We start from the raw sequence: 16,628 nt of genomic DNA, 5'->3' as shown, positions 1-16,628 counted from the left end.
TATCTTTCAAAAATTTGTTGAGTGCCTGGGGAACACTTACTCATCTTTTCTGACATAGTTCAATCCCCATCTTCTCAGAAGCCTTTTCTGTCTCCCTCCTGGCAAAAGTAGAATGGATCCTCCTCCCCTTTGTGCTCTGTACACATTATTATGGTATCTTGACTACCTGACTATTTACATATCTGTGTTACCTACTGGATTTTAAGCTCCTGTGATAGTGTAGTATAATAAGAAATATACATTTTGGCAAGCCCCTTTCAGCCGTAGCTATGTTTATGTTAATGAGGTGACTTTTGGAAAGTAATAGGTTGACTTTAGGATGGGGGATCTGGTTGTCAGGGGAGCCAACCATGTGATTAGAGGGTTGGAACTTTCAGCCCTACCCTCCAACCTCTAGGGAGGGCAGAAGCACCAGAGGTTGAGCTAATAATCATTTATAGCCAAAGATTTAATCTATCATGCCTACGTAGTGAAGCCTCCATGAAAACCCTAACAGAAGGGGTTCATAGCGCTTCCAGATTAGTGAACAAGAATGTGTGCATGTGCTAGAGGATGGTTGGATTAGTTGGTTCTCACACTGCTAATAAAGACGTACCCAAGACTGGGTAATTTACAAAGAAAAGAGGTTTAATTGACTCACAGTTCAGCATAGCTGGGGAGGCCTCAGGAAACTTACAATCCTGGCGGAAGGGGAAGCAAACACATACCTCTTCGCATGGTGGCAGCAAGGAGAAGTGCTGAGCAAAGCGGGAAAAGCCCCTTATAAAACCATCAGATCTTGTGAGAACTCACCCACTATCAGGAGAACAGCAGCATGGGGGTAACCGCCCCCAGGATTCAATTATGTCTCACTGGGTCCCTCCCACAACACGTTGGGGATTATGGGAACTACAATTCAAGATGATATTTGGGTGCAGACACAGCCAAACCATATAAATGGTATAACCCAAACTCCATGGAGACAGAAGCTTCTGTGCTTGGGACCCTTCTGGACCTCACCCTGTGTATCTCTTTATCCTGTTGTTCATTTGTATCCTTTAAAATATCCTTGTAATAAGTTGATAATAGTAAGTACACTTTCCCTGGGTTCTGTGAGCTGTTCCAGCAAATTCTTGAACCCAAGGAGGGGGTTGTGGGAACCTCCATATGTAGCCAAGTCAGACAGGAGTTGTGGTAACCTGGGGATCCACTACTTGTGATTGACATCTGAAGCAGAGGGCAGTGTTCTGGGAGTGATCCTTTGGTCTGTGGGGTCTGTCTTAATTCTGAGCAGTTAGTGTCAGAATTGAGTTAAATTGTAGGACACTCAATTGGTGTGTGCCAAGAATTGGAGAGCTGGCTGTTGTGGAAACCCCACTCCCTGCCACATATTTGGTGTCAGAAGTGCTGAGAGAGTATAGGAGAGGTATTTTTCTTTTCTTTTCTTTTTAGCTGTGTATTAGTCCATTCGTATTGCTATAAAGAAATACTTGAGGCTGGGTAATTTATAAATAAAAGAGGTTTATTTAGCTCACTGTTCTGCAGCCTGTACAAATAGCATGGTGCCAGCATCTGCTTCTGATGGGGCCTTAGGAAACTTACAATCATGGTGGAAGGCAAAGGGGACCTGGTGTATTCCATGATGAGAGCAAGCAAGAGAGATGCCATACTCTTTTAAAACAACCAGATCTCACATGAACTCAGAGTGAGAACTCATTCATTACCATCTAGGAGGGCACCAGGCCATTCATGAGGGATCTGCCCCCCATGACCCAAACCACCTCCCACCAGGTCCACTTCCAACAGTGGGGATTATATTTCAGCATTAGATTTGGAGGGGACAAATATCCAAACCATATCAAACTCTTTGAGGGCAGGGTTCATATCCATTTTTGTATTTCTGTGGGCCTAGGGCAGAGGGAGTACTCAGAACATGTTGCATGGCTGGATGCACTGGATATCCTAGAGATGAGGAGATGGGGAGAACTCAATCCTAAATGTATTTAGGAATTTAAGATTGAGTTCTCCCCATCTCCCCATCTCTAGGATAAATTTAGGATTTATGTATGTTGTGAACCATGACATAAATGTATGTTGTGAACCAAGACAATCAGAAAGGTTGTCACACTGCTAATAGGTAGAAGAATTAGAATTCGAACCTTGATATTGTGACTCTTAAGTTCAGTGCTCTTCCCAAAATGCCACAGATGCCTTGCAGCGTCCAGCCCTATGGGGCTTAGCGAGTGTTCTCCCCGTGTGTGGAGACAAGAGATTGTAATAAATAAAGGCACAAGACAAAGAGATAAAGAAAAAGCAGCTGGGCCTGGGGGACCACTACCATCAAGACACGGAGACCAGTAGTGGCCCCGAATGGCTGGGCTTGCTGATATTTATTGCATATAAGACAAGGGGGCAGGGTAAGGAAGGTGAATCTTCTAAGTGATTGACAAGGTGAAGCAAATCACGTGATTACAGTATAGGGGGCCCTTCCCTTTTAGGTAGCTGAAGCAGAGAGAGAGAGAGAAGGCAGCATACGTCAGCGTTTTCTTCTCTGCACACGTCAGCATTTTCTTCTCTGCACTTATAAGAAAGATCAAAGACTTTAAGACTTTCACTATTTCTTCTACTGCTATCTACTACGAACTTCAAAGAGGAACCAGGAGTACAGGAGGAGCATGAAAGTGGACAAGGAGCGTGACCATTGAAGCACAGCACCACAGGGAGGGGTTTAGGCCTCCGGATGACTGCAGGCAGGCCTGGATAATATCCAGCCTCCCACAAGAAGCTGGTGGAGCAGAATGTTCCCTGACTCCTCCAAGGAAAGGAGACTCCCTTTTGCAGTCTGCTAAGTAATGGGTGCCTTCCCAGACACTGGCGTTACCGCTTGACCAAGGAGCCCTCAAGCGGTCCTTATGCGGGCATGACAGAAGGTTCACCTCTTGCCTTCTAGGTCACTTCTCACAATGTCCCTTCAGCACCTGACCCTATACCCGCTGGTTATTCCTAGGTTATATTAGTAATGCAACAAAGAGTAATATTAAAAGCTAATGATTAATAATGTTTATAATAATGACTGATAATTCTTCATGGTCCTCTCTATATCTAATTTGTATTATGACTATTCTTATTCTAACTACTTTCTTTATTATACTGAAATACTTTGTGCCTTCAGTCTCTTGCCTTGGCACCTAGGTAATCCTCCACCCACAGTGCCTCTCTTATTTAATCTGGTTGTACCAAAATTGAGCATTCTCTTGTTACGAGATGCTTGAAACTTTAATATTTTACCTAGGTTAACAAACATGATGGTGGGGGCAGGCAATCAGTTACAAGTACGATGACATGAGTCTCAAACACCCTGGGAAATCTCTCATTTGTATAGGCTCTCCTGGGTCATATTGGTTTTTTTCTTGACCAATCCTGGGAACCTGGAGACTTAGTGATACAGGGATAAGAGCCTGTTGAGGTTCTGAGATGATCTGATGTTTCTCCCTTAGTTATATTCGTATATTAGGTGGTTCCCCAAGTGGAAACTGTAGGTTTATTGGGTCCTTCTAATCTTTACCTGAAGGTTTGTATCTTTCAGCACTTCCTAGGGTTCTGGGGAGTTGGTGTGGAATGGGAAAAGAATAATTTCTTGTACTACCGGGCAATTGGAAGTATCTGCATCAAATGTTAGAGATTACCAGGCAGTCCACCAGCTTGTAAAAAGTGCTATGACTCTGGCAGGTGTGGTGGCTCAGGCCTGTGGTCCTGACACATAAGGAGGTAGAGAGTTTGAGACCAGCCTGGGCAACATAGCAAGCCATCTTCTGTATAACAACAACAACAACAAAAGTGACATGACTCTAAATACTCCATGTAATCATTAGTGTGTGATGGGATTATTCTGGCTCTGGAAATTCTCAACTATATTATGCCTTGAAAACTCATATTCTTAGACAATTGAATTTCTTTGTTTCTGAAATTAGGTGGTATCAACTTTCTTCTTTGTGTCTCAATTTCCTTTCTTGTATCTCTTCTCCCATTTCTGATTCATATCTGTGTTTTTATTCTACTCTCCTAGATCTGACCTTTCTTGTCATTAATCACTTCAAGAGGCCATGATGCCAGGTCCGAAGTCCAAGGGTCTTACTTACTCCTTTAATTTGCCAAATTGTTTACCTTTCTTTAATGATATTCACTGTCTTTTTTTTTTTTTCTCTAGGAAGCTGAAATCTATTTAAGACAGAATAGGGGGATACTAACATTCCCTCCATCCATACCCCTAGACATTCTTTTTTATAATTACAGTACAGTGATCAAAATTAAGACATTTAACATTGATATACTATTATTGAATCTGGAGATCCAGAGCACATTTCATTTATTATTCCACTGATGCCTTTATAGCTATTCCTCACCCTCCCTGCCCCTCCAGCCCCAAGTCCAGGATCTAATCCATAATCACACATTGCATTCAGTTGGTCAAGACATAAAGTTTTAAAATATCTATGGTGAGAGGAAGAGATAATACGGAAGAAATGCTGTCCTTTGTTACATACTATAAAATGCCAGCTATCTCATGACTACTCAATGATTTCATGTAAGAGTCCATACAATGACTTCACGTAAGAGTCCACAAACTTAAAAATCAGTGTAGTCTATTCTCCTACTTTCATTGTCATGGTTATCATTAGGAGCTGAAGGTGTCCCTCCCCACCAAAGAAATTATTGTAGCATGGTTCACTAGGATGAGTAAAAATCACTTATTACTGGCTGGGCGCGGTATCTCACGCCTGTAATCCCAGCACTTTGGGAGGCCGAGTTGGGCGGATCATGAGGTCAGGAGTTCGAGACCAGCCTAGCCAACATGGTGAAACCCCGTCTCTACTAGAAATACAAAAATTAGCTGGGCATGGTGGCGGGCACCTGTAATCCCAACTACTCGGGAGGCTGAGTCAAGAGAATCGTTTGAACCTGGGAGGCAGAGGTTTCAGAGAGCTGAGATCACGCCATTCCGCTCCCACCTGGGTGACAGGGCAAGACTCCATCTCAAGAAAAAAAAAAAATCACTTGTTACTGTTTACCATCTCTCTCGTTTCCTCCCCTTCTAGCTTAATTTTTTATTATTTTGTATTAAAACAGTTGTCAGGCATGCAGAGCTTTTTATGGGGTAATTACTACTAAATGAAGAGAGGAGTTTAATCAAAGGTTTGGTCCTCCTGCAACTTAAGAGTAGAAACAATAGACATATTCTAGATCTTGAAAAACACTCTTTGATCTGGCTGTGATAGTTGTGTTTTATTCATTTGATTATTTGTATTATGATGAGAGAAAGGCTATATGAAAAATCAGCATTGTTGTTCAGAAATGGTATTACTTAATTTAATTTAGTCATAAAACTTGTCCGTCAGCAATTTTTAGTGATATCAGAAAGTTGAGTTTTAAGCAAAGTTTTATTTAGCTATTTTTCCACTGAACATATTCAAGACTGTGACATAGGAACTGAAGGCAATTACAAAAAGAATGATTCCTAGAATATTTGGAAAATGGCATTGTAGTTGAAATAAACATAGTGTTTCTACCCACCCCTCTTCTCCTACCTGTCTACCTTGAAAAAAAATTGTCTTAATTTGAAATGTATGTAACTTCTTGCATTTTTTTTAAAAAAGAACTACATTTGACATCACAATTTGTGTAACTTGAGTTGTATTTCTCCTTTTATGCTATGAACTACTGGGCTGAGGAATTCTTAGAAATCTTTGAAATTACTTCCTTGTAATTAATAGTTTCTAGAAAGTGTTTATTTTGAAGATAGGGATGATAGCATTTACACTGGAAGACAGTTTAAAAAGAGACCAAATTATGAGTGGAGGAATCCTTGGTGGCAAGAGTATAGACCTGTATACAGTTTTTTGTTTTTTTTTTTTTCCTGGGGCGTAGAGATTGGGGAAGGCCACTTGGCCAAGGGTGAGAATGTGAGCAATGATGGGCAGAGAGAGTCCATTCAATGCAGAGGGAACAGCAGGTGCAAAGGCCCTGGGGTGAAAGGGGACTTAGTGTGTTTGTGGAACTGTTCTGTTCTGAGGCCTATAAAGATTTATAAAGCAAATAATTACAAGAGGATAAATACAAGGAGATAGTTGATTTGTTAGTAATAAGGAGGAATCATGCAATTTTAGAGCTTAAAGAGACTTTAAAGAATCACCTCCAGATTTTTCACTTGTGAAAACTGAAGATAAGGAGATGGTTTGCTCCAGGTCACCTAGTGAGCTGGTTGTTAAGCCTGGACCCAAGCTCATATCGAATATTTCTGGATCATGCTCTCTGAGTGCACTGCCTTAGTTCTGGAAAGGATGTGTCTGGGTTGCCCAGTGGATAAGGACTCTAATTCTATACAGTGTCAATAATATGGTTGTTATAATGGATACCATCTAGTGACTATTCAGACTCCTTTGCTTGCAAATACCGATGCTCTTTGTCTTACGACAGGGTTACCTCTTGATAAACCCATTGTAAGCTGAAAATGTATTTGGGACACCTAACCTACTGAACATTGTAGGTTAGCCTAGCCTACCTTAAATGTGCTCAGAACACTTACATTAGCCTGCAGTTAGGCCAAATCATCTAGCACAAGCCTATTTTATTTATTTAATTAATTATTTTTTTGAGACAGGGTCTCACTCTATTGCCCAGACTGGAGTACAGTGGCGCAATCCCAGCTCACTGCAGTCTCCACCTCCCAGGCTCAAGTGATTTTCCTGCCTCAGCCTCCCAGGTAGCTGGGATTATAGATGCGTGCCACCACGCCTGGCTAATTTTTATATTTTTAGTAGAGATGGGGTTTCGCCATGTTGGCCAGGCTGGTCTTGAACTCCTGACATCAAATGATCCACCCACCTCAGCCTCCCAAAGGGCTGAGATTACAGGCGTGAGCCACTGCGCCCGGCACAGGCCTTTTTATAAAAAAGTGTTGAGTATCTCATGTAATTTAAAAAATTATTTTAATTAGTTTTATTTTTTGAGATGGAGTCTTGCTTCGTAGCCCAGGCTGGAGTGCAATGGCATGATCTTGGCTTACTGCAACCTCCGCCTCCCGGGTTCAAGCGATTCTCCTGCCTCAGCCTCCCACGTAGCTGAGATTACAGGTATGATCCACCTCGCCTGGCTAATTTTTGTATTTTTAGTAGAGACAGGGTTTTGCCATGTTAGTCAGGCTGGTCTTGAATTCCTCACTTCTTGTCACCTGCCCACCTCAGACTCCCAAGGTGCTGGGATTACAGGAGTGAGCCACTGTGCCCGGCCTAATTATTTTTATTTTTGAGACAGGGTCTTGCTCTGTCATCCGGGTTGGAGTGCAGTGGTGTGATCTCAGCTCACTGCAACCTCCACCTCCTGGGCTCAAGCAATCCTCCCATGTCAGCTTTCCTAGAAGCTGAGACCACAGGCACATACCACCACGCCTGGCTATTTTTTTTGTATTTTTAGTAGAGATGGGGTTTTGCCATGTTGCCTAGGCTGGTCTCAAAATCCTGAGCTCAAGTGATCCACCCGCCTTGGCCTCCCAAAGTGCTGGGATTACAGGTGTCAGCCACCACACCCAGTCCTCATGTAATTTATTAAATACTGTACTAAAAGTGAAAAACAGAATGGTAGTATGGGTACATGAAGTATGGTTTCTACTGAATATGTATTGCTTTTGCATCATCATAAATTTGAAAAATCGTTAGGTCAAACCATAACTTGGGACTGTCTGTGCTTGTCACTTTCCTACCTTTGAAGCTTTGGTCCTGCTGTGCCTAGCAGTTCTCCTTCTCCTGTCTATTTACTCAAGTCTCATCCCAAATCCTTTTAAGTGGGAGGCTTTGTACACCCCTCTGGTTATACATGCCTTGCCCTTTCTGAATTCCTGTTTAAATGTAATTTCCTGTTAAATGTATATGTGTTATGATTATTGCCTTTTTTTCTCACCGGCTACATAATAATTTCCTTGAGGGAAGAAGTTGTTTTGTAATTTAAACATATCACACACAATACCTCGCACCCATTAGCCTTTTAAAAAAGTTTTTGTTGGTAGTAATTACAATGGTGATGATCAGTAAATATTTAAAGTAAGCAAAAAGATCTTTAATATAAAGATCTCACATTGTGAGAGTTACTCCCCACATAATTTTGTTCCATTTTATTTTTTGAAGTGGTGCATTATTTAAATTTAGAAACAGCTGGGCATAGTGGCTAGCACTTATAATCCCAGTTACTCAGGAGGCTGAGGTCAGAGGATCACACCCAGAAATTTTTTTTCAGGGACAGAGTCTTGCTATGTTGTCCAAGAGTTTACGTCTAGCCTGGGCAACATAGCAAGACTATCTCTTAAAAAAAATCTAAAACAAGGGTATGTTTTAATTCAGTATTTATTAGTATTAATCTCTCCCCCAAACTAGATGTGGACATTATTATAAACAAAGTTATCAACTGTCAAAAGAAATCACATGACAATTTAAGAAAGTGATACTACATTTTGAGTTGTTTCTAAAACTATTTCAGACACACCAACTGTTAGCCATAGGTTGATGCTGGTCAGGTACGTGTAGAAAATTATATGCAGAAAGGAGCTTAGAAACACTTGTGTTACTCAGCAATTAATTCTATTATTACTTTTTTAGGAGGACTTCTGATGTTATTACCTTTTAGTTTTGTGAATATACTGTACTTCTGAGATAAATAAATATTAATGTTCACTGATTACTACTTCAGATAAAAATACCATTTTGGTCTTCTTACCAAAGCTCTTCATTTACCTTTTTTACTTTTCATATTAGAAAACTTTCTCAAAGTTTCGCATGATTCTACATTGGTAAGCCCCTGAAAAGAAAATACTACAAAATATGTGCAATATTGTTTGTTAAATAAAATTAAACGAGTAAGCAAGAGACTGAGGTGAAATTGCAAAATGATTTTTAATAGATTATTGGAAAGGAATTTTTCCCCATTACCTAGTTAGATGACATGTTTCTTATTCTATCTTTATTCCAAGCAATCACATAGGCATTGCTGTTAATTTTATTTGCGACTACGAAAGTCACATGGATAGGTGTAATTCCTTACTCATAAGATTGTAAAATATAAATTTTGTGCCTTTGAGAGGAATATGTTTATAATTTCCTGGTAGAAGTATCTTTTATTTGTAATATGGGACTCAGCTCATTTGTTTTACTTTCTTCATCACTTGTACAACAAAGATTTAGTGAGTGTGTACCCAGTGCTAGGGATGGAGTAATTAAAAGATGAATGGTTCTGGCCTCATTAAGCTTACAATCTGATTAAGCTATAGTTCTACCTCTGTGGGTTCATAATGACATACTTTGTTATGCTACCTCTGCTGTGCTATGAAGGGGGTCTCTTGAGACCTGGCGTTCTTACCTTGTGTGCCACCGTTGTTTGCACTTGCCCACGGGACTCTCAACTTCACTGGACATTGGGTTTCCAAGTGTAATATGGGGCAGTTGTGCCTAGAGGATTTCAAGGTTTCCTCCTGTTCTTACATTTTACATAGCACAGATCCCACAGAAATATCAGTGTTTTGTATACATACTTGCATTGTTCTGTTGTCTTCAGTGCCCCATAAAGTATAACTGTAAACAACCCACAGATTTGCCCACGGACTATTTTACAAGTGAAGAAACTAGGGGACAGTGTTCTCTGAAGTGACATCCCATCTGAGGAGGCGAACCAAGATGTCTTATCTTTCGGGCGAGTGTACTGTTAAACCACACTGTTCTACTTCCCACAAAGGGGGACTTCCTTAAACAGTAACTTCACTGACCACCTCTATTCATATGTTTCCTTCCTCCTTCCCTTCTTTGGCTGTATAGATAACAAACCTTGCAACGGGTGTTCTTTTACCAGTGGTTCATTTATGTTTGTTTTTTTCCGCACTGTACCCCTGTGAGGTGTTAGGAACCCTGTGCATTTAAGTAAATTAGAATTGTGCAGAAAAGAGAGACCAGCAGAAAAAAAATATTTCTGTGAATGCTTTTATATACATATATATATATATATATATATTTTTTTTTTTTTGAGACAGAGTCTCACTCTGTCACCCAAGCTAGAGTGCAGTGGCATGATCTCTGCTTGCTGTAGCCTCCGCCTCCGGGGTTCAAGTGATTCTCATGACTCAACCTCCTGAGTAGATGGGACTACAGGTGCGTGCCACCACGCCTGGCTAAGTTTTTGTATTTTTAGTAGAGATGGGGTTTTACCGTGTTGCCCAGGCTGGTCTCAAACTCCTGAGCTCAGACAATCCACCTACCTCGGCCTCCCAAAGTGCTGGGATTACAGGCATGAGCCACTGTGCCCAGCCTGTGAATGCTTATATTAAAGAAGCTGAAAAGGGTTATGCTTAGGTGGTAAGGCTCAAGAACTTTAAAGTGAGTTTTGTTAAATGGTACATTTCATATATACTTTAAGTGATTCTTCTTAAAGAAAACTCACAAGTGACTCAAAGATGAATTTATTCACGTTCATTGTCTATCTCAACAGCAGAGAAACTGTCACAGTTGAAGACTCCTGGACATTTACTGCAATATATTTGTAATTTAGTTTAACACTTTAGAAAATAGTAAAGTAAGCTCATTTTTGGGTTAACTTATCCTGACTAGGACTGATTGTAGTACAATATAAGGATAAATAGTAAAACTTTGAATTTTCTTGGAAAATGATGAGCAGCTTGATGCTAATGATCAGATATAATTAAAAAAATTTTTTTTGAACCTCAGAGTGATTTTTTTATTTTCAGACTTCACAATCACTTTCTAATGATAGGTGTTCTGATGAAAATATCTGCAGGAAACAAGACCAAAATTCACTGGATGAGATAATATATTTCTTGAAGTTCTAGAATCAGCTTATCAGCTGTATTCTGTTCCTTCTTAGTTGTAGGAAACTTTAGCTGTGGTCTAGGTCCATCTCTGAGTTTACAGAATTTCTGTGAAGTTAGGGAGTGAGAGACTAAGAGGATGGACTCTTGTGCCAGATTATCTGGGTTCAAATTCTAAATCTGTTACTTATTAATTGCATGACCTAGGACAAATTACTTAATCTCTCTGTGTCTCACCTTTAAACTGGGGAGAATAATAATACTTCCCTCATAGGAGTTTTTGAGGGGTAAATGGATCAGTATAGATAAAGTGGCTAGGATAGGTCCTGGTAGGTAAGTGCATGTAAGCAGCTGTTATTATTATATACATAAGGTAGGTTGCATTGTTGCCCATTGTGTCTTTACATGTTTCAGTCTTTGCTCTTGCCTCTGTTTTTTCCCAGATATCAATGCATTTGCAATGAGTGTAATTGTGTCATTGTGTTATTAGGTCACTAATCACAGGTGATTCACTCTTTAAATTGATCTGTGGTGCTGGTAGTCTGGTTATGTTTTGGAGTTCTGGTAACTGGTGGAAATGCATACCTCGGGTAGGTTCATGTGTTTGACATCTCTGAACCATGTTCATGGAACTCTGTTGGGGGTCGTCTGCTGTGGATGTTTTTCTCTGGATGTTTGCCAGTGGTACACATATCGATAGGGTGCCAGTTGTGGTAACTGTGGTGTTGCTTTCTCAGTTTTAGTTTTTCTTTCCTCCCTCTTCCTCCTCCTCCTCCTCATCATCCTCCTCCTCCTCCTCCTCCATTTTTTTTATAAAGAGGCAGTCTCATTCTGTCACTCAGACTGGAGTGCAGTGGTGTGGTCATAGCTCACTGCAGCCTCAAACTCCTGGGCTCAAGGGATCCTCCCACCTTGGCCTCCTAAGGACCAGGATGACAGGCACGTGCCACTATTCCTGCTAATTTTTTGTTTTTAGTTTTGTAGAGATGGAGTCTTGCTATGTTGCCTAGGCTGGTCTTAAACTTCTGGCCTCAAGGGATCCTCCTGCCTCAGCCTCCCAAAGTGCCAAGATTACAGGCATAAGCTACCGAGTCTGACCAACTTTACATTTTTATGACAACAGAGGTGGGTCTGCTATGGAGTTAAAGAAAAGTAAGCTTTAGGCTCTTTCAATTCCATAGCCCTTCCTAAGGCCTCTGGAAGGGCCCCAGAGCTTTTGCATTTATGATTTTGCATTTTAGTTTTATTTTTAATTTTTAATTGACAAAGATTTCTCCTCCAAAGTGTTTAAGCTTCAGATCCCTCAAAATCTGGATCTGCCTCTGTAGAGCACATAACATTTCATTTGTTCTAATATCTGACAATTTCTGCAAACTCTGACAGTGAAATACTCTCAAACATTTCCACTGTAAAACAGCTAATAAACAAGCATGTTTACAATTGGTTTATGTTCTCTAAGTTCTTCCTTTGAAAAACAAAGTGGTGTGTCTCTACTTTAATCTGTTAATTTTATTTCCCTGAATAGAGTTAAACAGTTGTTGTTTTTGAAGTCCTATACTTTTCTTGTTAAATGTATTCCTATTTTATAGTTTTAGCTACTCTTGTGAATAGGTTTTTTTCCCCATGATATGTTGTAATTATTGTTAATATATCATCAAGCTTGATTTTTTATAAATCTATTTTTTTTGAGACAAAGTCTCACTCTGTTACCCAGGCTGGAGTGTATTGGTGTGTTCACAACTCACTGCAGCCTCAAAATCCTGGGCTCAGGCCATCCTCCCACCTCAGCCTCCCGAATAGCTGGGATACAGGCGTTTGCTACCATGCCCAACTAATTATTTGTTATTTTTAATTTTTTTTTGTAGAGATGAGCTCTCTCTATGTTGCCAGGCTGGTCTCAAACTCCTGGGCTCAAGTAGTCCTCCCACCTCAGCCTCCCAAAGTGAGGTACTGTGCCTGCCTACAAATTTATTTTGTAACCAACCATTATACTCTGCTACGTCTGACTGTTACATAGAGACATAGTTTTCTATCATCAACTTCATTATGGAAGGGTTATTTTCTACTGAATTTAATCCAAATTACGAGAAGAAAAAAATTAAAAAAAATTAAAAGGTATTTTAAGTGCTAAACAAGAACATTCAAAAGCATGGGATTAAAACTTTCTGTGCTGAGAAAGTTATAAGCTGTGTGTTCTGGAGGGAGGCATTGATGGGGAGTGGTGGAGGAATATATCTACCCAGTAACCTTAAATTTTCTGAATTGACCGAAATACAAATTTAGAAATAGAGAAATCTAGATTTATAATTCATAGTGACTACCACGGTGGGATAATTGAATTCAAACCCAGCCTATCTAACTTGGAAGGCACCCACAGACATCTCTACTTGAATTTCTTAGCCACCACCCCCAATTCTTTTTTACTTGAATCTGTTCATTTGACAAAAATATTTTAAGCACCTACTTTGTGCCAAGTACTGTTGTAGGCTCTGTGGACACAATAGTATAGAAGGTAAATGCCCTGCTGTCCTGGAATTTACCTTCTAAAGGGGAGATGCAGACAACGTACAGATACCAGTAAATATCCCCCTGCCATGAGAAAAGTAAAGCCGCATGAGAGAGATGGGGCCTTGCCTGCTGTTTCTGTAGGTAGGGAATAGAGAACTTAGGAAGAGCAGGGCAGGCCACGGAGAAGCCAAGAGTACAAAGGACCCCAGGGAGGTGGGAAATGCTTTATTGCTCAAAGAACAGCAGAGAGGGAAAGGAACTGAGGTGGAATGGGGTGGGCATGGGAGGGGAGGAGGCCAGAGAGCTGGGCAAATTCATTTTTTTGTTTGTTTTGTTTTTGTTTTTTAAGTAACAGGCAGATTTTGGAGGGTTTTGAGATGGGAGAGACAAGATGTTGCTAATTCATGTATGTTGCCACGCCAGGGCACAGTGAAACATGAACTGGCAGTTAGAAGCTTGGAGTTAGTTCTGGCTCTGCTAGCCAGTGTGATCTTGGAGAGGTCAGTCCCTCAGTTTCCACCCTAAATTGAGGAAATTAGACTGTGATCACCAGAATCCCTTTCATGGCCAAATATTATGATTCTCAGATGGAGAAATTGTTATTAAGCATTCATATGTGCTGGCCACAGTTGTTGGCTAAGTGGGATAGAGGAGACCTGCCACTCCCACCCTCTGCTCAGACTTTGGCTCTTTGCCTCACCCCTGCCTCTGGGAAGCCAAGTTCTGAGCCTGCCTGGACCACAGATGGGTGTATCACTCTGTTCTCACTGGGGTCCTCATCGGTAGGTGTGGGCATGTTGACTTACTCTGTTTGCCTTGGTCTTCTTTCTTCCAAATGGTGTTGTTCTCTTTCATTCAATTTCCTCTTCTTTTCTTCTATTAGGATTTATACATTTTAAAAAATCCTTTTCCTATCATTTTAGTGGAGTGCAATAAGGGAAAGGAGTTAAGAGCTTGTGATCAATCCATTATGCTTAAATTCTGGATTTTTGTTTTTTTATTTTGAGACGAGGTCTCACTCTGTCGCCCAGGCTGGAGTGCAGTGGTACAATCATGGCTTACTGTAGCCTCAACCTTTCGGGCTCAGGTGATCCTCCCACCTCAGCCTCCTAAGTAGCTAGGACTACAGGCATGTGCCACCACGCACGGCTAATTTTTTTTTTTTTTTTTTTTGTAGAGACATGGTCTTGCTTTGTTGGCCAGGCTGGTCTCGAACTCCTGGACTCAAGTGACTCTCCTGCCTCAGCTTCCCAAAGTGCTGGAATTACAGGCATGAGCCACCATGCCTGGCCTGGAAATTCTTTAACATGTTTATTTTATAATGTTGAAAACATATTTTCCTTGAGGACGTCTTGAAGAATGCCTTTCCTCAGAGGAATACAAGGAGCCTAAAAGGACATTTGGGAATGAGACACACAGGGTTTGTAGTTACAAGCAGTATCCCAGCAACTCAAGACCTGAAGGGTTAAAGCACCTGATGCCTGCCAGATAAATTCCAGAATCACTAGTCTGTCAGGCTGTCTTCTGGGGCCTCAGTCTACCTTTTCAGCTTCATTCCATATTTTTTCCTCATGGTTCTCTGCTGCTGCAATCAAACTGTCTGATTCCTGTTGAACTCTATTTTCATGTTCCTACCACCTGGTCCATTCTTCTGACCTGGAATGCCCATCCTTTTTTGCCTACCTAAACCCTACACATTCTTTAAGGCATAGTTCAAATTCTACCTTTCTTGGATTCCTGTCAACGGTGCAGAAGATCTCTGTCTCCTTCCTTTGAACCCTTGCCCCTCGTTCTTTATTTGTGGGGTTTTTTTGTTTGTTTGTTTTTGTTTTTGAGACTTAGTTCCACTCTGTTACCCAGGTTGGAGAGCAGTGGTGTGATTATGGCTCATTTCAGCCTTGACCTCCCGGGTTCAACCAATCCTTCTGCCTCACCCTCTCTGGTAGCTAGGACTACAGGTGCATATCACCGTGCCCAACTAATTGTTTTCATTTTTTTTTTTTTTTTTTTTTTTGTAGCAACGAGGTCTCCTTATATTGCCCAGGCTGGTCTTGAACTACTGGGCTCAAGCAATCTACCTGTTAAGCCTTCCAAAGTGCTGAGATTACAAGTGTGAGCCATCACGCCTGGCCAACTTTTCATATTTTACACTTTTAAATATTGCTTTCTCTGGTGTGTGTGTAGTGGTATTTCACTATATTTTTAACTTGCATTTCTCTTATCACGAATGAAAATGAGCAAGTCTACATGTGTTCACTGTCCATTGACATTTAGTCTCTATCGAAATACCTATTTCTACATTTTGTTTCTTAGGTTTTCTGTTCTTTTCTTATTTGTTTTTAAAAGGTATAAAAAATATATATATTCTGAATGAAGCTCATCTGTGTGTGCTTTGTACTTTGTGGCTTGTCTAACTCTCTTAATATCTCTTTTTTCTTATTGTGGAAAAATACACATAACATAAAATTTACTCTTGTAACCATTTTAGAGTGTACAATTCAGTAACATTAAGTACATTTATAATGTCGTTTAAAAATCACCACTATCTAGTTCCATAACTTTTTCATCAACCCAAACAGAAACTGTCCCCCTTAAGAAGTCAGTCCCCATTTCCTTTTCCTCCCAGCCCCTGGCAACCCTAATCTACTTCTTGTCTATATGGATTTGACTATTCTGGATACTTTGTATAAGTAGAATCATACAATATGTTACTTTTGTGTCTGGTTTTTTCCACTAAGCATAACGTTTTCAAGGTTCATTCAAGTTGTAGCATATATTAGTACTTTGTTCCTTTTCATGGCTCCATTGCATGGGTAGACCACATTTTGTTTATTCATTCATCTGTTGGTGGATATTTGGGTTGTTTCCACCTTTTGGCTACTGGAAATAGAACCGATATGAATATTCATGTACAAGTTTTTGTGTAGACATATGTTTTCATTTCTCTGGGATATAGGAGCTGAATTGCTTTGGCTTTGAGTATGTTTAACCTTTTGAGGAACTGTTAGACTGTTTCCCAAAGCAGCTGTGACTTCTTACATTCCCATTAGCAGTGTGCAAGCGTTCCAATTTCTCCAAATCCTTCTTTACACTTGTTATTTTCTCTTTTGTTGATTGTAGCTGTCCTAGTGAGTGTGAAGTGGTATCTCATTGTGGTTTTGCCTTTCCCTATGGCTAATACCATTGAGCAACTTTATATGTAGCTTATTTTAAAAAATGCATATAGGCTGGAAAACCTCCTGTCTGGTGGGAACCTCCTCTTTATTTGATTTTTAAAATGCAG

At 40.4% G+C, this 16,628-nt stretch overlaps 1 protein-coding gene across 6 annotated transcripts in view, besides 4 other annotated features; it reads left to right on the top strand.

The window, feature by feature from the left end:
- Window positions 1-16,628, top strand: part of TEC (tec protein tyrosine kinase) — a 134,056-nt gene that overhangs the window by 47,702 nt on the left and 69,726 nt on the right. The gene's annotated exons all lie outside the window — the stretch shown is intronic.
- Window positions 9,588-9,637: an enhancer, noted in NCBI's record as "active region_21547". NCBI's record gives its function as "activates an Ori minimal core promoter by ATAC-STARR-seq in GM12878 lymphoblastoid cells {active_cell/tissue: GM12878}" and the evidence as "EXISTENCE:reporter gene assay evidence [ECO:0000049][PMID:35858748]".
- Window positions 9,658-9,717: an enhancer, noted in NCBI's record as "active region_21546". NCBI's record gives its function as "activates an Ori minimal core promoter by ATAC-STARR-seq in GM12878 lymphoblastoid cells {active_cell/tissue: GM12878}" and the evidence as "EXISTENCE:reporter gene assay evidence [ECO:0000049][PMID:35858748]".
- Window positions 10,248-10,307: an enhancer, noted in NCBI's record as "active region_21545". NCBI's record gives its function as "activates an Ori minimal core promoter by ATAC-STARR-seq in GM12878 lymphoblastoid cells {active_cell/tissue: GM12878}" and the evidence as "EXISTENCE:reporter gene assay evidence [ECO:0000049][PMID:35858748]".
- Window positions 11,377-11,516: an enhancer, noted in NCBI's record as "active region_21544". NCBI's record gives its function as "activates an Ori minimal core promoter by ATAC-STARR-seq in GM12878 lymphoblastoid cells {active_cell/tissue: GM12878}" and the evidence as "EXISTENCE:reporter gene assay evidence [ECO:0000049][PMID:35858748]".

This window comes from Homo sapiens, chromosome 4 (assembly GCF_000001405.40).
Source record: "Homo sapiens chromosome 4, GRCh38.p14 Primary Assembly".
In the NCBI taxonomy this organism is placed as follows: Eukaryota; Metazoa; Chordata; class Mammalia; order Primates; family Hominidae; genus Homo; species Homo sapiens.
Note: the sequence above shows the minus strand (reverse complement) of the source record. Positions and strands in the feature narration are given on the sequence as shown.